The 23455-nt window shown below is 33.7% G+C and overlaps 1 protein-coding gene across 7 annotated transcripts in view; it reads left to right on the top strand.

Annotated features, from left to right (window-relative positions):
* BMP2K (BMP2 inducible kinase) overlaps positions 1-23455 on the top strand; it is a 140016-nt gene that overhangs the window by 53627 nt on the left and 62934 nt on the right. For all 7 annotated transcript variants that reach the window (XM_047415932.1, NM_198892.2, NM_001419799.1 and 4 more), the window contains 5 exons: positions 3606-3711; positions 12409-12551; positions 14952-15073; positions 17212-17293; positions 20948-21080. In XM_047415932.1, the coding sequence (XP_047271888.1) occupies positions 3606-3711; positions 12409-12551; positions 14952-15073; positions 17212-17293; positions 20948-21080 (586 nt within the window). The remainder of the gene's footprint in view (positions 1-3605; positions 3712-12408; positions 12552-14951; positions 15074-17211; positions 17294-20947; positions 21081-23455) is intronic.

Consider the following 23455-nt stretch of genomic DNA (forward strand, 5'->3'; position numbering starts at 1 on the left):
TGATTCTAATGCCCCAGCCTCCCGAGGAGCTGGGACTATAGGCAGGTGCCACCATACCTGGCTAATTTTTTTGTATTTTTAGTAGAGTCGGGGTTTCACCATGTTGCCCAGGCTGGTCGTGAACTCCTGAGCTTAAGCTATCTGCCCCCCGTGGATTCCCAAAATGCTAGGATTATAGGCAAGAGCCGCCACACCCAGCCATCAGTATTAATTTTTTTGTACATTTCCGTCAGAGCTCATGGGTGACTAGGTACGTTGTCAATGAGCAGTAATATTTTGAAAGGAATCTTTTTTTCTGAGCAGTAGATTTCAACAGTGGGCTTAAAATATTCAGTAAACCATGCTGGAAACAGATGTAATGTCATTCAGGCTTTGTTGTTTTATTTATAGAGCACAAACAGAGTAGGTTTAGCATAGTTCTTAAGGGCTTAGCAGTTTTGGAATGGCAAGGTAAGCATTGGTTTCAACTTAAAGTCACCAGTAGCATTTGCCCTTAACAAGAGAGTTAACCTGTCCTTTGAAATTTTGAATACAGCATCGACTTCTTCTCTTTAGCTCTAAAAATCCTAGATGGCATCTTCCTCCAATAGAAGGCTGTTTTGTCTATGTTGAAAATCTGTTGTTTAGTGCAGCCACCTTCATCAGTTGTCTTAGTTAAATCTTCTGAATAACTTGCTGCATTTCCTGCTTTACTTTGTACTTAATATGTGCTGGAAATGGCTTCTTTCCTTAAACCTCATGAACCAACCTCTGCTAGCTTCAAACTATTCTACTGCAGCTTTCCTCACTTCTTCAGCCTTCATAGAATTGAAGGCAGTTGGGGCTTTGCTCTGGATTAAAGCTTTGGCTTTAGGGAATGTAGTGGTTGGCTTGATCTGTCTAGACCGTTAAAACTTTCTCCATGTCAGCAATAAGGCTGTTTTGCTTTTTTACCATTTGTGTGTCCATGGGAGTAGCACTTTTAACTTCCTTCAAGAATTTTTCCTTTGCATTCAAAATTTGGCTGACTGGTGTAATAAAAGGCTTAGATGTCGCGCTTCTTTGGCATTCCATGTGCCTTTCTCATTAAGCTTAACTATTTCTAGCTTTTGATTAAAACGATAATTGTGGGACTCTTCAGTATTGTTGTGTTTTATGACAGAGGGAACCCCAAGGAGAGGGGGAGCCTGAGGAACGGCTAGCCGGTGGAACAGTTAGAACACATATAACATTTATTAAGTTCACTGTGTTATATGGACACAGTTTGTGTTGCCATGAAACAATTAGAAAATAACATCAACCATCACTGATCACAGATTATCATAACTGTTGTTATAATAATGGCAAAGTTTGAAATAGTATGAGAATTACCAAAATATGACAGAGACACAAACTGAGCACATGCTATTGGAAAAATGGTGCCTATAAACTTGCTCCATGCAGGATTGCCACAAACCTTTAATTTGTGTAAAATGCAGTATCTGCAGAGCATAATAAAGCAAAGTACCACTTTTTAAAAATGTAGCACAATAAAATGAGGTACACCTTTGCTATTCTCCTTATCCAAAAAAATCCTACTGTCTGAATTCTGTGTTTACTGTTCCTGTGCATTCACTGTTTGTGTTTTTATTCACAAACAACAATTAGTTTTGTTTTTCACTTTTAATATCATGCTCTAATGTTGTTTTTCTGTGACCTCTGTAATTAATGGCAAGGCATCTTTCAACAAGGGAAAACTTATTTTTAAGTATTAAGAAAAGTGAAAAATATTTTAATAGGCCAGTAAAAACTTCAGTGACTCTAACTTAACTAGCCTAAGTAGTTAAAAAAATGTAGAATAAAAATTTCCTCCTTTTCTAGGGTTACATATGCTCAGTGCTCTGGATGGCTTCTTATTCTTGTTCTTCTTCCTTGTCCTCCCATTTCTCCCCTCCTCTTCATCCTCTTTTCTCTTTCTCCATGGTTTTTTGAGTGCTTACACACAAGCACAGACACAGGTGCATATATATATTTGAAGATTGTTTTGTTGAGGTGAAATTCACATAATTATAGCATCTTTATTTTTTATGGCTGAATAATATCCCATTATATGTCTGTAACACAATTTATTTATCATTCATCTGTTGATGCAGTTTAAAAAATTATTTGATGAGCATTTGGGCTGTTTCTGTCTTTTGGGTATTATAATTAATACTGGCATGAATATGTGCATGCATCTATTTGCTTGAGTACCTGGTTTCAGTTGTTTTGGTTATATATCTAGGAGTGGAATTGCTGGGTTATATGTACTTTTATGTTGCCTATTTTCTGTAGCAGCTGAACCATTTTATGTTCTAAGGAAAGTATTTTTCCGCATTCTTGCCAACACTTGTTATTAATGTCAGTTGTACTTATCCACCTGCTAAGAGGGGGATTTCTTATTTTGTATCAACGTCTTTACTAACACACATATTACAATCCCTTTTGTTAGCAAATAACTGCATTTGCACAATCTGACTTTTTAAAATTCTGCTTTTATTTTCTGTATTCCTTAGCTAGATTAGAGATGATTAGACTTTGGCATTTACTTTTGTACAGTTAAGGCTGTTAGCTAGAAGGGTGAAAAGATTTACCTCAAGATGATGGAGAAGCTTAGACTAAGTTCTCTAACTAACTTGAGTCAAGATATTATAGTCTTGTACTTTTGTACAAGACTTCTTTCTTCCTTTCAATAGAATTTGTATGATTTTGAGAGATATGATGTATAAGGAGCAGCACACTCAAATCTTGTGCTTTTGAACATTTTTTAGGGAGATTAGTTCTTTAGAATGGTGGTCTGTCAACTTTTTTGATGATTCATCCCCATTATATATATTTACTTATAAATAATTCCCATGTTCAGTGGCCCTTAGCCCTTATTTCAAATTACATTGCATAGTTAAAACTAGGTTTATTGGTAATGATAGTTTATGTAAATTTATTTTAAATAATATTTTTAATAGTTGTTTTTAAATTTCCCAGTAGAACAGAGTAGGTTATTATTCTTAACCTCATTGTACGCTGATGACTATTTTGTAAAAGACACAAAAGTTTCAGATGTTTCATTTTCTTATTTCCTTATATTTGTATTAGCATTATCTTTATGGTTTCTTTTTAGAAATCTTTTTAGCCACTTGTTCATTTTTTTAGGTTATTTAGTTAGAAGTGCATGTGTCTATAAATTCATGTAATAGCTACACGTAAATTGCAATATGTTGCAGGCAAAATAAATGAGAATATAATTGTTAATAAATATTGGAGCTTAGTTATTTTATTTTTTAGATAAAAACAAATGTAATAAAAGTTCTAATATTTTATTCTCAAGTTCTTTGTACACTTTTGGGAGCTATTCCTTTTGCGTGAACCATTTTCACAGTTCAATTTAAAAATAATTTTCATATTTGCTGTTAGAAAATTACAGTCGCATGCAGGTAAACTTTTTATTGAAACCATAGAAGCCTTTGCTTGCTTGAAATATGTTAGATTCTGTACTCATGCCTAATTCTTACCTTTTGAAATTCTTTACATTAATTTAGGCTTCAAACCATTACTAATTCTATACCTTTAAATGTACATTTTCCAGTTTTCATTTTTTTTTTTCTTTCCAGAAAGAGCTATCTGGTCACAAAAATATTGTGGGCTATTTGGACTGTGCTGTTAATTCAATTAGTGATAATGTATGGGAAGTCCTTATCTTAATGGAATATTGTCGAGGTAAGTATTTTTTTGCATTTGTACTGTAATAAAAAGTTTCTCCTTAAATGGGTTACTAGGTATCTTTGTTATTTCCAGGGTAGCTGCTAACTAATTCTAGTCACTTATTGTAATCTTACCTTTCATTATCTAATTAGGAATATTGTTAAAACATTATTTAAAACCTAGTCATAGTTACTGCAGTTATGATATGAGCATGTAAACGCAGAATGAGAAAAGTGATATTGAGTTTAAAATAGGAAATCTAAGCAGGTACAGAGTTACAGTTCTTGCTCTCCATAGAATTCTTCTGTAATCCAACCAAGAAGAGGATAATATGTCAATATTAATGTTGTAAGATTTTTCCAGAACTCTACTACGTTATTGTAAACATTAAATTTAACAAATTTGGAGGATGCATTTTGATCTATAGACTTTATAAACCTGTTTTATGTAGTCTCTTGGTGGTGTTTGTAAACATTAGATATAGAAAATCACATTTTATTTGGACCTAATGTGATGTTTTAAAATAAATATTTACTTGTATAGCATACCTTAATCATCATCATCATCATAAAAAAATTCCTGACATTTAAATTTTTTTTTTTTTTTTGAGACGGAGTCTCGCTCTGTCGCCCAGGCTAGAGTGCAGTGGTGCGATCTCGGCTCACTACCAGCTCGGCCTCCCGGGTTCATGCCATTCTCCTGCCTCAGCCTCCCGAGTAGCTGGGACTACAGGTGCCCGCCACGACGCTCGGCTAATTTTTTGTATTTTTAGTAGAGATGGGGTTTCACCATGTTCACCAGGATGGTCTCGATCTCCTGACCTCGTGATCCGCCCGCCTCAGCCTCCCAAAGTGCTGGGATTACAGGCATGAGCTACCGCGTCTGTCCTTAAAAATTTTAATGTGTGGAAAGGTGGAGGCAAATATTCTATTTCCTACAAACTTGCAAGCCATATTTGGCACTTGTGGTTCTAGGGAGCCCTGGTTTACATTTACATTCTCTTCAGAAAGTAATGATTGTTAATTACTATCCCAGAAACTCTTACAGTTTCCTGAAGGTTGCGGAAAAAGAGGGGGATGATGGTGATGTTGGAGAAAATATGATCTTGTTTACTGCAGTATTTTAAGGAGGAAAGGATGGGGAAAATGAAGTGAATCAATGTGACAATACCTACCGTGATGTATTTGTAACTTATTTCCATACACAATATTTAACAACCAGATGTTTCTTGATTTTTCTTTATATCTTATCTTCTCTACTATAAAGTACTGTACTGTGATCTCTTTTAGGAGAAGATGCTGATTTTTTTCTACCCCATTTTCCTGAATTCTAGCATTTATAGTGCTAATTCTTAGAGTTTACTTGTAGCCCTTGACTACTTGTAACTTTTAAAAGATACTTGAATCAAGCATAATCATAACCTTGGATTAATTTAATTGTCACTTAGAAGACATCTTAAAAGGGGAATCAAATGACCTTCAAGTTTTAGGGGCAAATTTTATTTTAAAGTAGAAGAATGATCATATCTGTTTTTTGAGGAATGCATTGTTTTGTTTTAAAAATTTTTTAGAAATAGTTATCCGGTATTCAAATCATCAAGCTCTGTGGTATATGAAATTTAAAATTTTTATCAAAGTAATTTGTATATATGGTTTAAAAAGTCAAATAGTTGGCCTGGTGCGGTGGCTCACGCCTGTAATCTCAGCACTTTGGAAGGCAGAGGCGGGTTGATCACAAGGTCAGGAGATCGAGACCATCCTGGCTAACACGGTGAAACCCTGTCTCTACTAAAAATACAAAAAAAAAGTTAGCCGAGCGTTGTGGCAGGTGTTTGTAGTCCCAGCTCCTCGGGAGGCTGAGGCAGGAGAATGGCATGAACCCGGGAGGTGGAGCTTGCAATGAGCCGAGATCGCGCCACTGCACTCCAGCCTGGGCACATAGCGAGACTCCGTGTCAAAAAAAAAAAAAAAAAAAAAAGTCAAATATCTTAAGCTGTGGCTGAATCAGTACCCTCCTGCCTCATCCCTCTTCTCAGAGGTAGTCCCTTTAAAATATTTGAGATGTTTCTTATATTTACTTCCATATTTCCACACTGCATTATATAAAAGAGAATCAGTAATTTTAGTGATTTCTTAAGGGTACAAAAGAGAAAGGACTTAGAAAATCAAGGGAAGTATATAATTCTGTGCATGAAGAGGCTCTTGAAAGAAAGTTTTCTAGTGCTACTTTTGATGTTTTAGATATTGTCTCTAAGAAAAGATAGGAATTTTACTTCTAGTATAGATATTCTCAGGTTTTGGACCAAATCAGTGTTTATTTTCCCATTTAATGGTGTCTGTAGTTGTATTTTCTTATCCTTTTTTTTTCCTGGAATTAGTAATTACCTCGGTTTTCATTTGCCTAATTTTCTTCATGTATATTAATATTTTAGTCCCGCATTTTCCAATAGAAGTAAAAATAATTGGCTGGGCGCCGTGGCTCACACTGATAATCCCAGCACTTTGGGAGGCTGAGGCGGGCGGATCAAGAGGTCAGGAGTTCGAGACCAGCCTGACCAACATAGTGAAACCCCTTCTCTACTAAAAATACAAAAAATTAGCTGGGCGTAGTGGTGGACGCCTGTAGTCCCAGCTACTTGGGAGGCTGAGGCAGGAGAATGGCGTGAACCGGGGAGGTGGAGGTTGCAGTGAGCCAAGATCGCTCCACTGCACTCCAGCCTGGGCAACAGAGCGAGACTCTGTCTCAAAAAAAAAAAAGAAGTAAAAATAATTATGCAGTATGTTTAGACATTTTAATATTTGTTTTGATTTCATTTTTTCTTCCCTTAAAAACACCCCTTGGGGAGACTTCGATCATCCTGCTTAATTTTGAACAGCAGTTAGCTGTCCTTCTGGAAATTACCTTTGCCTCCCTTCTGTCTTGGATTCCCTGCTACTTATGCCACACCTTTGTTTTCACTCACTAATTTGGAAGACTTTGTTTTTCAGTAGCTTTCTGACTGGATTTTTTGGAGAAGGATTTTTGAAACCTTGCATATATAAACATATTTTTATTCAGTGCCCACATTGATTGTTACTTTGGCTAGCTAAAACATTATAGGTTGGAAATAATTTTGATCCAGAATTTTGAGGACATCATTCCACTTTTTTCTTAGTGTTGTTGACAAATTGATGTTATTGTGATTGCTTAATTTTTCTATGTGACATCTTTTCTCCATGGACACTTTTAGTTTGAATCTTTCCTTTATCTACAACGTATTGAAATTTCAAGATATACGTGCCTTACTGTGTGTCATTTTTGGTATGCTTTTTGTGGCGTTTTTGTCTTCTATTTTCTGTTCTCTTACTGGACTTCTCATTTTCTTTCAAATGTTCTGAGCTTTCTAGATTGATAATCCTCTGATTTTCTTTTCTTATTTTCCTTTTCTTTATTCTTTTATTGTTGGAAGCCTTCCTCTATCTTTTAGCTCTTCTATAGAATTTTGTATTTCTATTATATTATTTTTAATTTCCAAGGACTCTTTTCTTTTTTTTTTGAGACGTAGTCTTGCTCTGTCACCTAAGCTAAAGGGTGCATAGTGCCATCTCAGCTTACTGCAACCTCTGCCTTGTGGGTTCAAGTAATTCTCATTCATGCCTTAGCCTCTTGAGTAGCTGGGATTACAGGTGTGCACCACCACATCTGACTAATTTTTGTAATTTTAGTAGAGATGGGGTTTTGCCATGTTGGCCAGGCTGGTCTTGAGCTCCTGACTTCAAGTGATCCACCTGCCTCGGCCTCCTAGAATGCTGGTATTATAGGTGTGAGCTACCACTCCCAGCTTGACTCTTTCGTGTTCTCTCAGTGTTCTTTGCTAAAGTACACCTTGTTACCATGCAGAGATACTGGGGGGAAAAATACACCTAGTTCTTGTTTTAGCTGCAAATCTTTTGTTGTCTGTGGATATTAATTTCAGTGTATCCATTTTTCTTTCTTTCCACCCCTGACCCTTCTTTCTTTGTTTTTGAGACAAGGTCTCACTCTGTCATCCACACTGGAGTCCAAAGTCAAACTTCAGGACTCAAGTGATCCTTCTGCCTCAGCCTCTTGAGTAGCTGGGATTAGAGGTGCACATGGCCATGCCTAGCCAATTTCTTAATTTTTAATTTTTTGTAGAAACAGGGTCTCACTTTGTAGCCCAGGGTGGTCTGGAACTCCTGGCCTCAAGCAGTCCTCCCACCTCAGCCTCCCAAAGTGTTGCGATTAAGGGCAGAACCAGTGTGGCCAGCTAATGTTAGTTTTAAATTTTTTTCTTTTCCTTGCTGTATTAGTCCATTTTCACGCTGCTGATAAAGACGTACTCGAGACAGGGCAATTTACAAAAGAAAGAGGTTTAATTGGACTTACAGTTCCATGTGGCTGGGGAAGCCTCACAATCATGGTGGAAGGCAAGGAGGAGCAAGTCACATCTTATGTGGATGGCAGCAGACAGAGAGGGTTTGTGCAGGGTAATGTCCCTTTTACATCCCTTTTTAAAACCATCGGATGTCGTGAGACTTATTCACCATCACGAGAACAGCACAGGAAAGACTTGCCCCCATGTTTCAGCTACCTCCCGATGGGTCCGTCTCACAACATGTGGGATTTCGCGATGAGCTTTGGGTGGGGACACGGACAAACCATGCTTTCTCTTTTTTTGTTCAAAGTTTTCTTCGGATGTTTTACCTGTTAAGGTTACTACATGTATTACAGATCAGTTGCACCCTCTAAGTGGGCAATTATTTCTTTATAGAAGAAATCCAGAAGGCCTGAATGGAGTATGCTCAATTTTCTCAATGGAGTATGCATGATATCTTTTCTCAGATGAATCAATTAGATAAGTTCCTTTTTCTTCCATGGTGGGGGAGAGATTTGGAAGGGCAGAGAATAGAGGACTAAATACTCTCCACTTACTTCCTCTGTAACAGCTAACTGCATTACATAAAATTGTTTAACAATTAAGGTATTTTAGTAAGGGAACCTATATAATGTATACAGTTCAGGGACATTGGCTTTTATTATGTAGGGATAAAACTGTACAGAGAGTAAAACAATATGTTATATAGCTCATATCCCCTTACGTGGTTTTAGGTATTCAATGTTTACCATCATCTTCTGTCAAGTGTAATCATCTTTTGTCTTGGTAAATTCGTGGTTTGGTACTGCTTTATTTGCTAATATTTTGATACATAGATTTAAAGAGAAATTATGTACTTTAGGTCTCAGACTTCCAGAAATCAGTATTGGTATTTTGAGCACATTTATATTATTGTATGAATAATTTGTGAGTAAATTATGAAAATTTATTAATTTTTAATGTATGTTTTTAGGAAGTATTCTACATATGTTTCCATGGATTATGTATCTGTTAGTATTTGCTTAATTAAAAAAAATTCCAAAACTCAATAGCATAAAATAACTTTCGTTTATTATCACCTGTGTATCCATGGGCCAGCTGCTTTCAACTTAGCTTGGTTGGGTGGCACTGCAGATTTTGGCAGGGCTTTCTCACATGGCAGTGGTTAGCTGGGATTAGTTGGAGTAGCTCTGCTTCACGTGTCCGTCATCCTCTTTCTGTCACTAGCAAGCTGTCCTGTGGATGGTTTTCTCATGTGGATGATAGAAACATAAGAAGGCATGTAGAAGCATATGAGGCCTCTTAAGGCCTAGTCTTGGGACTAGGACACTGACGCTTTTACCTGTTTCTGTTGGCCAAAGAAAATCACATGACTGAGCCCAAATCAAAGAGCAGGAAATTTATCTGCCTCATTTATTGGGACAGACTGCAGAGTTACATGACAAAGTGCATGTAAAAAGTGAAGTTTGAAAATTTAGGGCCAATAATGCAATCTACTACAGATAAAATTGAAAAATCTTGTTGTATTAGTCAGGGTTTTCTAGAGGGACAGAACTAATAGGATAGATATACATATAAAGGGGAGCTTTATATGTATATAAAGTATTACCTCATGAAATCACAAGGTCTCACAATATGCCATCTGTAAGCTGAGGAGCAAGGAAGCCAGTCCGACTGCAAAAACTGAAGCAGTTGGAGAGATGTTCAAGGGCAGGAAGCATCCAGCATGGGAGAAAGATGTAAGCTGGGAGGCTAAGCCAGTCTAGTCTTTTCCTGTTCTTCTGCCTGCTTTTTATTCTGGCTGTGCTGGCAGCTGATTAGATTGTGCCCACCCAGATTAAGGGTGGGTCTGCCTTTCCCGGCCCGCTGACTCAAATGTTAATCTCCTTTGGGAACACCCTCAAAGACACACCCAGAATCAGTACTTTGCATCCTTCAGTCCAATCAAGTTGACACTCAGTATTAACCATCACAGTTGTAAAAATAAAAAAGTCATATTATCAAAAATTTAAATGGAGTAATAGGTTGTATTTTTGGTTTTTTTTTAACTAAGTGGTAATATGTGTACTCAGATAGGTTGTTGAACACCTTTTTTAAGAGATTAGAAAAATGTTGCTTTTTAATGTTAGTGATGAAATTTGGCAGAGTGTAAAAAGCTTTTGTTTTGGGTTAATGATACCTCTTTGGAAAATATGGAAAGAGTTGAGAGTTGTAGGCATCTCATTTTATTTTATTTTATTTTTATTTATTTATTTTTTTGCAGTTGCAAGATTTAATAGAGTGAAAACAGAGCTCCCATACAAAGGGAGGGACCCAAAGAGGGTAGCCATTGCCGGCTCAAATGCCTGGGTTTATATCCTGATCATTGTCCCTCCCTCTGTGCTCTCAGGCGATAGATGATTGGCTGTTTCTTTACCTCCTGTTTTTGCCTAATTAGCATTTTAGTGAGCTCTCTTTACTACCTGATTGGTCAGGTGTGAGCTAAGTTGCAACCGACGTTTAAAGGTGGGGTATCTCATTTTAAAAAACCTTCAGTATATAATGTTTGATTTCCATATCTGACTTTTTACCTTTTTTTTAAATTAGAATACCTTCTTTTAAGCTTTATTTTTCAGAAAACTCTGAGTTTTGAGTAATGAAATTTTATTTATTTCATTTGAAATTCAGCCCAAATATAGTTTTTAGTTTTCTCTAGGGACTTGTTTTTTGTGATTGAGGATTTCTACTTCAAAGGTCTCTGGACAGAAGAAAGGGAATTAAAGTTTGTTTAAAATTTATTCTGCTTATTTTAACATTAAAAGTTTGGAAGAGGTGGATTGAGTTCAAGGTTATGATTTCTTTAGCTATGATATGATATTTCAAGGATGTGAATGTACACCAAGAAAGCATTTTTTTATTCTGTTTAATTATTCTTAAACTAGAGAAGCCTGGGTTTAATTAAAAGACAGGGAGTCTGCCAAATGAGGGAGTGGTGGAAGTTGCTGCATGGTCAGGTGCCCCAGTCTTGTGAGATAATCTGAACAAGTTACACCTGAGTTTTCTGAAAGTTGGGGATTCATAGGTAAAATTAATGTTCTTTTTGCTTTAAAATTCTATGAGAAAAATATTCTCAGAAAAGACAAGATTGCTTAGACAGTAATAATAAAAGGAACAAGTTTATATGTACCTTCTCATAGATTGTAAAATAGCATATGTTCATTTATCTAACCTTGTTAAAGGAAAGTTGCAAGTTAATGAATGCTTTATGTTTTTTTGAATTCCCAAACTCAATTTTTATTAGACTGATTTCTGTGCGAATCACATATTTACTTGCATTCTTAAAATATGATGATTAACGTTTTGTTAATAAAGAATCATTATTAGACTATCAATTTCTATACTGTAATATATAACCTTCTCAGGGCTTAATGGTATATGTGTGGCAATTTGATTTTAGTCAATTATTTTGGTCCATTATCTGTTATCTGGATAGAATTTACCTCTTAGCCCATTTTGACTCTTTTGATTCCCCTAACCCTAGATGAGATTTTTTTGAAAGTCAGATGAGGAAGTTTCTTTGGCTCTTGAGATAGAATTTAAAGTATGGCTGATCCCTGTCTGCCTTGCCAGTCTCATCTCACCTTATCGTCTCCTCTGCTTCCTAGAGCATATCAGCTTTCTTTAAGTTGTAAAGAAAGTCATACTGGCTTTCTTTGAGTTATTCAGAGTCATCAATTCTTTTCTAAATTGATGGCATTTGTACATAGTACTCAGTATCGCTAGTATATTGTTCTCCCAAGTCTCTGCCTGGTTGATTCCTAATTATCCTTCAATCTCAAATATCACTTCCTTAGACCTGATCTGGTACCCTGTCTTCCTCATCTTCCTTCACAGTTTAAATTTAGGTTTCTCATATAAGTTCTTTCATATTATTATGATATATAATTATTACAATATATCTATTTGTGTGATTGCTTCTACCTTTAGACTGTAAATTCTGTGATAACAGAAACCTTATTTTTGTTCACCACTGTTTAGCCCATAAATAGTATGGTGTTAAATAGCTATTTCTTAAAACCAGTATTATAAGATATACTTTGATCTCAGACGTGTTAAAGAAAAGTGGGCAATAGCATTAATAAGACATTTATCTATTTTAAGATGATCTTTTGAGATGTAAAATGTGAAAAAATGTGTGTCATTGAATTAATACAGTATGATGTAATAAGCATCCTTACATGAGAATTATGAAAAAGCCAATTTCCCATTACTTGAAGCCATAAAGACATTTCTTAATTTGCTTGTGATAGACTTTATTTATTAAAAATATGTCCTCTCAAAATTACTTTTTTGGTTAGCTGGACAGGTAGTGAATCAAATGAATAAGAAGCTACAGACGGGTTTTACAGAACCAGAAGTGTTACAGATATTCTGTGATACCTGTGAAGCTGTTGCAAGGTTGCATCAGTGTAAGACTCCAATAATTCACCGGGATCTGAAGGTAAGAACTTTAGAATTCCTATGGATTAAGTAATAAGTTGGAGTTAAAATGTTCTTGGAGTATTTTCATCTAAATCAGTATAAAAACTGGCTTTGAGGTTGGTCTCTCTCTCCCCTTCTACATTTCCTGAGGTCATGTAAAGAATGACTGTAGCTTTGAAATTGTGCTTTACTTGACTTTGAGGATTTCTAGCATGGCTGTGGAGGCAGATTTTGTACCTTCTACCCTGCATCCCTGTTTTCTATAGTAGGCTTCTTTAAAAGGTTTCATTTGAACATAAATGTGATTTTCATTGACATATGTTAAATGTCTCTCCACACTATTGTCTCTCAGTTCAGCCAGCATTTCTCCTATTAACTGTAATCAATATTAAGCATCAAAGTGTTCTCAAGAGATACTGGAGGAGACCATAAGTGGGTCTCTTTTTCTATTTCTTTATAATTTGGTACAGTTTTCTATTATTTTCTATAATTTGGTGGTAGTTATCTTGAAGGTCACTTCATCTTCTGTGGATTCTTGACCTCTTATATTGGTACCCACTTGTTACATTGAAAAAAGTCCCCAAAGAATATTGAATATTCTGGCATTATATTGCTAGAGATATAATTTATAACTGCAGGTGTCCTCTTTCATGCCCAGAAGAACACTGAGATTACAAAAATCACTCTTCCTGAATTGCTTTATGCCTAGATATTCCTCTGACTACCCTTTCCACTCCTTCAGGTCTGCTCAGGTTCACCTTCTCAGTGAGTCCCATCACTATAGCCTAACCTGCTGCACCTTTTATTAGTCCATATTACTTCCTGTGATACTGTATAATTTGCTTATGTACTATGCCTATTATTTATTTCCTGCCCTCTCCCTCTAGAATGTAAGCTCCATGAGGGCCAGGACTTTTCTTTTTTTTTTCTTCCATTTTTAGTGATGTGTTTAAGCAGTTAAAATAGTGCCTGATACATAGCAGAGTCTTAATAAATATTGAATGATTAAATCCCAGTTCTGACTGATTATACAGAATTTTATGAAAGTTTATTATAAAATGCTTGTAAGATAAAAGAGAAAATGTCACTAAAAATATAGGCTGTTAATCATGAAAGCATCATCTAGAAAACCTATGATGGTAGGAGATAAGGCAGCATTGAAATGCTTAACTGCAGGCATCTCGCCTTAATTTGGATAACCAGTGTAGTTCATGTTAGTTCTTTTGAATATGCAGCTTTTCCATTTCCCCTAATAATTTGATACCATTTTTTGTGCTATTATAGTTCATTAATTTTTTTGCATGCAAAGTTGATATCTTCAGCTGACTCTTCTTTAAATTCAGAAGACATTTAACTGCATAATTTTGTATTGTCCATATTTTATATGCTTAGTGCTTTTTATGTGTAAACTTATGCAAAAATATATGTTCTAAGTAGATTTCTTTCTGAATCTTTATTTTGTACAAATTTTTAAAAAAGTATACTAAAGTGAAATATAGAAGAAAAGTTATAATAAAACAGTATTTCGATAAAATGGAAATAAATGAATTACTTATCTAAGACTATCATAAAAATAAAAGACATTATGGAAAAAACATGTAATAGTAATTTATTAGGTGCTTACCATATTCCAGACTGTTCTAAGCACTTTACATATTTTAACTCATTTAATGTTCACAACAGTTCCATATGGCAGATTCATATTCTAATTGTCCCCATTTTACGTAAGGAAACTAATGCACATGAATGGTTAAGCAGATTGTCCAAGGGTCCATATGCTAGTTAGTAGGAGATTGGGCTCTGAACCCATATTTTACTGTTCAAGAAACTGACTATAATAATTTATTTTAATTACTACAACCCTGATCTCCAAATTAAGTCAAATTTGTATTTTTTCAGTGTAGTATTTTAAATAAAAATGGTACTAGAAATCAAAGATGGAATTCCAGTAGTTTCTGTTATTATCTATAGAGAAGCTTAAGTGTCAGAAAAGGAGAAAATTGGAAGTATAGTAAAAGAGAGAAGCTGGACTCTGCCAGGTACTAGTTCTTCTCTTTTATAAAAACAGTTTTAGATAGGATTTAGGGTTTCTTTGCCCCTGTACAAATCAACCTGGGTTGGAAGAAGCATTTCTCTGTTCTTAGTAAGAGAAGCAGTAGACATAGTATATTTTTGCTCCCATTCATTTGACCTTCCTCATAATTTGGGTATCTTATGTCTATATATGTGTGTGTGCACTGTGCACATATATGTATATATATGGCACATGTATACTTATTTTTGTATATGGCATATACCCTTCGGTGTTTATTGTGTAAAAATAAGCTTCGTATGTACAAATAACCATTTTTTACAAAGATTGTAAAAAGTTAATTTTCACTTTGAAAATACTACTCATTATTGATTTTCTTTTCTTAAGGTAGAAAATATTTTGTTGAATGATGGTGGGAACTATGTACTTTGTGACTTTGGCAGTGCCACTAATAAATTTCTTAATCCTCAAAAAGATGGAGTTAATGTAGTAGAAGAAGAAATTAAAAAGTAAGTATTTGTCTTTATTGCACTTTTGTCATGGTAATTTTAAGTTAACTTGAGTCTCTGGCCAGCACTGCTAATACAAATTTTAGGTATTTCATTTATAGATTTCTTTGAAATATTTCTGTGCCATAGATGTTGATTAATTCATGTCTGATCTAGCTCAGTAGGAAATATATTTTGCCATAGATGCAGATTTTTTTAGTCTACATTGTAAACAGATTTGTAAAATTTGTTAAATAAGCTGTAGTAATTAGTGAAATTGTTAAAGGGAGTTTGAAATGATTATTGAATTCAGTTAAACATCTTTGTTTTTACTGATACTGAGGATTTGTCCTTGTTAAGAAAAAGTTAAATTATTTGAAAACATTTAAGCTTTTACTTCTTATTTAATATTAAAAGGATTGACTTTTTATGCATTGAAAACTGTGTAGAAAATGAAAGTGTTAAGACTGCATCATCACTGTTACTTTGTAATGTTATACTGGAAAGCTCTGGAATGGAAATATGTCATATCTACTTTATGTTCTCTTAATCCGGTGCTTTCTGTGGTTGCTAAAGTACCTGTGAGAATCTTTCGCTGACTCTTCTGCTTTCTACTTTTAGAAAATGGAACTATTTGTAAATTTTAGGTTATCTTAATAAAGTGATACAGAATGCAGGAAGATCTCTCAGAATAGGACTTTCTAAATAGTTAACCTTTTCTGAGTTGCCTTTCATCACTTCCTCACAAATTCTCTATTGCCTAATACTATGTCAGAGCCATCATTTGAACTGCAATATTTTGAAATAGTTCAAATAGAGCTGATTTTACTCTGGCCCATTTGTATAATACTGTAGATTTCTACGCTACATACTACTACTCAGGAAACTTAGCCTATGATGATTATGTTAGATTTAATAAAAACAAACATGTTAGTAAATATATAAAGTCCTGAAGAATACAAGAATAATAAAGTATTGAATTGGCTTATTGGAGAATACATGTATATAATTTTAAAAATTTATTGGATTGTGATGTTTAGTGGCTGCTGTATAGGATTCTGTCCAAGCATCCCTGACCTGCTAGACATTTTATTTCTTGCTGTTGCCTTTTGAAGTATAAGGTTCAATTGAATGTTTTATTAGCGATGAACAAAAGTTCATGAGGGGTTTTGTCCTTTGTGGCTCAATTAATGGACTTACCATTCATTCAGTTGACAAGTATTTATTAAGGGCCAACACTTTTTTGATGCTGGGGTGGGGGTATAGTGAATAAAAATCCTGTTTTGGTGAACTTTATATTTCTGGCTTCTTAGGTCATTCCTCCACAGTAGTAGTATTCAGACTCTCTCACCAGTCAGAGTGTTTGGAAAAAGTAAGATAGTAGAATGTTGACTTTTAAGATACTTCTTGCAAAATAAAATGATGCAATCCAAATCTTAAATTATGCTGTGATATAGGATGTCCATTCATCTTCTGAGCATTTGTGACATGAGATTTGAGCACTACTTCATTAAAATGTTCTGTTCATAATAAATATGGGGGTTTTCTATTGGTAAATATTTATTCATAATACCTTTTGATTCCAAATAGCTTATTATGGCAGTCAGTATTAGAAATATACTTAATGAGTGCAGTTAGATTGTAGCAAACAGATTACTTTTAAAATAATTATAAAAACAAACTCAAAAGAGATTTACTACTGTGTCAAGGAAGTACGTTAGAGTCCATAAAAACAATTTCCTTAGTAAATATATAAATTAAGTTTTTGAGAGGGTGGAAGTTTTACTTTTAAGTTAATAGACTAAAATATTTTGATAAGGAGACTATAATAGCCAAATTGTGTTATTTCACATAAGAAATTCAAGGAAAACTGTTTCCAATATATTGTCATTATTTCAGATTTTTATAATAAAGACAATTAAGCTTTTAGATTATTAGAAATACTGTTGTATTTATTGAATAAAAATGTATATAGATGCTTTGTATTGTTTAATCCTTGACGGGTTTTTAATGAGTTTTTAAAAATAGTATTACTCTATATAATGTTATTGAACCTAAAAGACTTTTTTTGTAGTGTTTTATGTAGAAACAATGTATTATCTGTCTTTTTTTTATATATATATATATATCTCCACTCCATTTCACTCATTTACTGCCAGGTATACAACTCTGTCATACAGAGCCCCTGAAATGATCAACCTTTATGGAGGGAAACCCATCACCACCAAGGCTGATATCTGGGTAAGGCCAAGAAAGGCTGGAACTTGCTCTAACCAAATTAAAAAATCTGAGTTCAGTTTATTATTTTTTACTCTGCTCCCCAAAAGGCATTTCCTAATAAGTAGAAGAGAGTGATGTACAGTAGAGCTTCTTACTTGGGAGAAGAAAAGTACTAGAACATTTTATCTTCTCAATCCTGAGATGGAAAGCTTATGTATCAAAAAGCAAATAAAAAACTTCCATATAATGTAACTTTTTAACTACAGTATTTTTTGAGGATTTAGATTATATATGAGTGTTAACATTTTTTTTGAGTGGAATTTTGGTTGATCAAAATATGGAAAAGCTGGACATAACTCTTAAGTAATTACACAATAATTTTCTGGAGTATTTTAGGGTCTTTTTAATGGAAATTGATATGAGTAAATGTTTTTCTAATTACAGTATAAACATACCATTGACTAGCTTTTGTATATTGAGGGTCTTTATCATTTAGCCTGTATATATCTGGATATAATTACTGAGATAGACCATATTTCTTTATAGTTGAACTTTGTTAGAATATAGACATCTCTTTAGAACTTATTTTATAAATACGTTTGTGATTGTACTTAATAAAGTAGGAAGAGAGTATTTTAAGTGTTAATTCATTTAAATTCAGCAGTTACTTAGCCATATCTATCACAAGTGACCATATTAGGAATGGAGGAATAAAATTCTTTGGAAATAGTTCTAGGGTTTGTAGAAAAGGTCAGATTTATTTTGTTTTGAAAACGTAATGTACAGAAAATTGTCAGGCGTAATGTGTAGAAACCAAATGAATATCTCCTTGGTTTTCCTTTCCTGGCCTCCTCCCTTTTAGGGTTGGGGTACCAAAGTCTTGAGAGACAGATATTCTTTTGTAAGGTAATTAAAAAAAAATCTTTAATATCTTTTCATCTATATAACATATATACATTCACCAAACAGTAATTCTTGTGGTAGATGAATTTTTTAAAATCACATGTATAATTTAATTAAAAATAAGTTTATTAATTTGGTACTACTTATAGATCTCCAGCTTACATAACTCAAATTTAGTTTGCTTTCTGCAGCATTAACATTTGACTCATTGAATGGCTTATAGTAAAGATGAAGGTTATTATAATGTAGAAAGCAAATTAAACTGGATTTTAATTTATAAAATCAAGGTGTTAGAAGAGGTGATTATGGAGGTCTTTTCTGGCCTAATTTTGTGACTGCTGTTGAATTCCATGTTACTTGAAAAGAGTATTTCAATAGCAGATAAACAATAGGCATCATACTTTTCATTCTGAAGCCATTGAAGGTTTACTGCAGAAAAATTATTCTCTAAGCACATGACTGTTATCCAATATCTTAACAAAAAAGGAGGAGATCATTTTCTGGGTTATTTTTTCCTCAGACTTAGTATGCCAGTGAGGTAGCATACTAAATTGTCAATGACACTTTTAAAATTTGTACTGTTTATATATTAGTTACAGAGTAGAGATTCTGTGATGGAAAAACTGTAAGCTGTGGGCTTACAAATAGATACTTGAAAAAAAAAAGAAACATAATTAGAGAACAGTGTATTTATATGCTTGAAAGAGGGAGAATTTTAATTTCCCTGATGCCATTTTTATGCTGTCTTACTTAGCTCAGGTGAAACACAAGTTTGCTACAATACTTTAGGTGTGAATTCAGTAATATCCAGAAAAAAATACTAAATTCAAATTGGCCAAGAACTGTATCTTTCATCCTGCTTCAATGTAGTACTGATTCAGAGAGTTATGATATTGAGGCATGATATTGAAGTATTTAGCACTTCATATTTTAGAAAATAATTATTTTAAAAAATAATTTTTTGCTTGGAAGTTTCTGTTTTAGGTTATTATTTTTATCCCGAGATTTAGGATGCTGATTTTATAAAGTATTAGAAAATTCATTAATAGGTAACATAAAGAAATGCTTTATGTTACCTATTAATGAAGAAAATTGAAGATGGTTATCCTCAGCCTTCAAAATTCAGTCACTGGTTCCCTCCTGTTTCTTGTACAATTCTCATTGAGATTGATAAAAAGGGAAATACCTTTGATGTGAAAAAATTAGTGTACCTCATTGTGTTCACACTTTACAAAGCAGAATATTTAGATTTATATATTTTTAAAGTATACTTGCATTGCTAAAATTGTTATCTGGGAACCCTACAACATTTACTCTAACACAAGACAAATTCCTAAAGTTTGATTGACAAAATAAAACTGGCTAAGATTTCTTTTGCCTAGGCTATCATCTGGACAGTGCAAAGAAAGATGTAGTCTAATGTGGACATTATACCATTAATAGCATTTTTTTTTAAGTGTTGTTAAGGGAGTCTTATGTTCAATTTGATGTATATGAGCTGAAAATATCTTCCTTAAAGAAAAAAGCATCATAAATCTTTTGTAACCATATGGAACCTGTTATCCCTACTTCAGATATTTATAATTTTGTCATGTAATAACCCAGTAATTTTTTTGAACTAACATTTTGAAATTTTTAGAGCTTTTGAACTGTTTTCATTGGACCATTGCTGCAATATTGAAAGCAATCTTTTGTAAATTACTGTTGCTGAACTCACCAAGAGTGTTTAGGTCTATTATAAGCTCCATAATAATTATAAAAATAAGTGCACTTGTTAGCTGAGTTTACTAAGTTGATATGTGGAGAAAATTTAACAAAGGAAAGCTGACTTGGTAATTTTTAGATAATAAGGCCAAGTTTCGGTATTGCTGATATAAGTGTATACTAACTTGGACAATTTTATACAATTTGGTTAGAATTGGAAATACCCCTTACACTCTTAAGGCCTGTAGGTGACACTTCTTGGGAAAAAGTAATGATTTCTTGAGCCAAAAAATCACTTAAAAAAAAATCCTTCTTAAATTTGAGCTGTTAGCACCTTAGCTAGAAATTTCCTGTGCTACTTTTATAGATGCAATTGGTATTTTAGGGTGTTTTGCCCTCATTGTCAGCAAGTAGATTTATTAGTGCTGTGATGGTTATGAAGCCATGCAGGTTAAGCAGACAGAGCCTTTCCCTTTTGAATTTTAATATAGATTACCCAGGTTACACATACAATTAGTATAATGTACAGTAGAAGTTGGAGGGTTATATCTAGAAACACAGAACTTAATTTTTATAGTGTAAAATAATGAGGTGTACCTGGTAAATAGTAAGAATTTACTGATGGTAGTCTGATAAGTTTAACTGTGCTGGCTAATTCATATTTGGAATCCCAGGACTTTTAAACATGCTTTATAGTGAATGCTTAAAAATGCTGTTAAAGAAGAAGCTTTATACTTTGTTGGTTATATGCTAGTTATGTATTAAGTATATATTTTCCTTGTGGAAGAAATAAAAGTTTAATTTTTTTCCAAAAAGAACCAGCTACTTCTAATTTTTACGATACCATTAATTCAGCCAACTAGCCACAGATGTGATAGAAGATCATGGAAATGATATAGTTAAATGTCTTTTCAAAAATTAAATATATTAATTTTTTTAAGAAATAATTTGTAAAAAGATTGCTGCAGTATAGAAACATGACTTTTTTAAAGTAACATTGAGTTTTTGGCTATTTTTGTGTCTTGTTAACTTGAGCTCTAATGATATTTATGCTTCTTTGGTTTACAGGCACTGGGATGTCTACTCTATAAACTTTGTTTCTTCACTCTTCCTTTTGGTGAGAGTCAGGTTGCTATCTGTGATGGCAACTTCACCATCCCAGACAATTCTCGTTACTCCCGTAACATACATTGCTTAATAAGTAAGTATTTGGGAAAATGTATGAAAATATTGTAGGATACTGTACTTAGGGCCTACTATTTACATTCCTTTACTTAAATCTAGTCTTAATTTCATATATGAAAATTTTGTGAAACTATAGTAAAGAAAAAAACATTTAAAAAAGTGTTTAAAAACTTACATAAGAATGAAAGCAACCTAATTATTGATTAATATAGATGTTTTTAAGCCCCTGGGTAAGATTTAGTAGCACACACCAAGGGATAATGTCAGAAGGGCTAGTCTTCGAGAGGCCCTCGATTTCAAAAGAATATTTTAATTTTTCTTCCAACCTCCTTTAAGATTTTTTTCTTCCATTTTGGTAGGTACTGTAATTTAACTTTTTATATATCTACAAGGCAAAATTTATTAAAAAGATTTGAGGAGCGGGGAGGACCATCAGCTATTAAAATAAATTAGGAAGCTACAATATTTAAATAGCTCCTTTTAACACGGAGTGTGTCTAGCATTAAGTGTGTTGTGTCTAGCATTTCTGCTTTGTTTTCTGCATTCAAGTACCCCTTGTTGTAGCCTCCAGCTCACTGGAATAGAAAAGAGAGAAATAGAAATATTTTGAGGTTTGTATGATGAAGATGGCAGTTCAACTTTCTCAGCCGTTTGTGGGCAAAAAATAAGGCTGGATCTCTATTTCATTCTTTATGCTAAAATTGCAGATAAATCAAAGATTTAAATATAAAAATAAATGTACTTGAAGAAAATAAGTGTGAAATTATTTATAAGAGTAGAATGTGGAATTTATAAGCTAGACATTTAATCCCAGGAACTATTATTAAAAAAAGATTAATCCATTGCCATATAACTTTAAACCATTAAAAGTTCCCCCAGACTCATGAACCCAAACTCATAAATTAGAAATATTTATTACTCATTTGACAAATGTCTAAGTTTTATAATTTATGAAGCTCGTGTAAATCATAAAGAAAAGGGTAAAAATTCCAAAAAAGGTCAAAAATGACCAAAAGAAAAAAGGGAGCATAGAAGAAATCTAGTCTGACTTGTGATTTAATTTGCTTACAGTAGTAGGATCTTATTTTCTTGTGATTAGGTTTTTCTTTTTTTCTCTGTGTGTATGTAATGTGGGAGTGGGGTGGGGTTATGTGTGTTTGTAATGTGAGATGGAAAAAAATACTACTGATAATTTTAGATCTAATTAGGCTCTAGTTAATTGATGCATTACAGTGTATTATATGCTTCCCTTACTGTCAGTAAATGTGCTAATTTTAGTTTTTATCATTGCTAGTATAAATTTAATCATGTATTATGTCTTTGAACTTATTTCTGAGAGCTAGGCAAAAATAACAAAAGGTTGAAAAAACATAAAAGCATTCAAGTCAATCTGAAATTACAATATTCCTAGTATTTTACCTCCTGTCAGAGGGCTTTATGGACTTTTAAAGTATTGTATTGAGTAGTAAAAGCTTAATAAAGTACAGATTTTAAAACCATAACTTACTTACCTATAATGTAATGTGTTTTAGAAAACATTTAGATTCTTTGCAATTTTTTTCTTTTTCTTTGTCTTCTTCAAGAGACAAGGTCTCATTCTGTGGCCCAGGACCTGCTGGAGTACAGTGTTGTGATCATAGCTTACTATACAAACTCCTGGCCTCAAGTGATCCTCCCACCTCAGCCTCCTGAGTAGCTGGAACTATGGGCATGTGCCACCATGCTGGTTTAATTTTTAAATTTTTGTAGAGATTGGGTTTTGCTGTATGCCCAGGCTGGTCTCAAACTCCTGGCCTCGAGCAGTCCTGCCACCACAGTCTCCCAAAGTGTTGGGATTACAGACATGAACCACCATGTTTGGCCTGCCATTTTATTCTTTATATTTTTCAAATGTGGCCTTTTGTGTCTTTTGCCATTTTATTTCAGTGTCTCTGTGTTTATAATATGTAATTAGTGATTTATATTACTTTTAAATAAATCCTACATTCAGAAAAATCAGGAATTCCTAGCTTGGCTCATAGTTTTTGAATGTGAAGCTTTTGTCAATTGTGTATTCATGCAATGTAGTTGTTTCCATATATTAACATAAAATAAAGCATAAGAAGATACACATCGTTTTCGTATTAGTTCCATTTGCATCCATTTTATAACACACAGAAATTTTGAAAATGAAATAGCCATGACAAATCTTTGTTAAAACTGTATGGTTTGTGGTTACCTAAGAATTTGAATATACTTTTCTTATTACTAATTTAGGTCAAGGGTAGTTACCATTATTTACTCTTCATAAACCTATTAATTTCTTCTTTCTTTCCTGGAGACTTTTCTTCTTAAAAGTAGTGGAGTCAAATATTTAGAACTTTTCTTAGCTTTTGTTAACTCTCCCAATAG

Source organism: Homo sapiens, chromosome 4, assembly GCF_000001405.40.
Source record: "Homo sapiens chromosome 4, GRCh38.p14 Primary Assembly".
Taxonomy (NCBI): domain Eukaryota; kingdom Metazoa; phylum Chordata; class Mammalia; order Primates; family Hominidae; genus Homo; species Homo sapiens.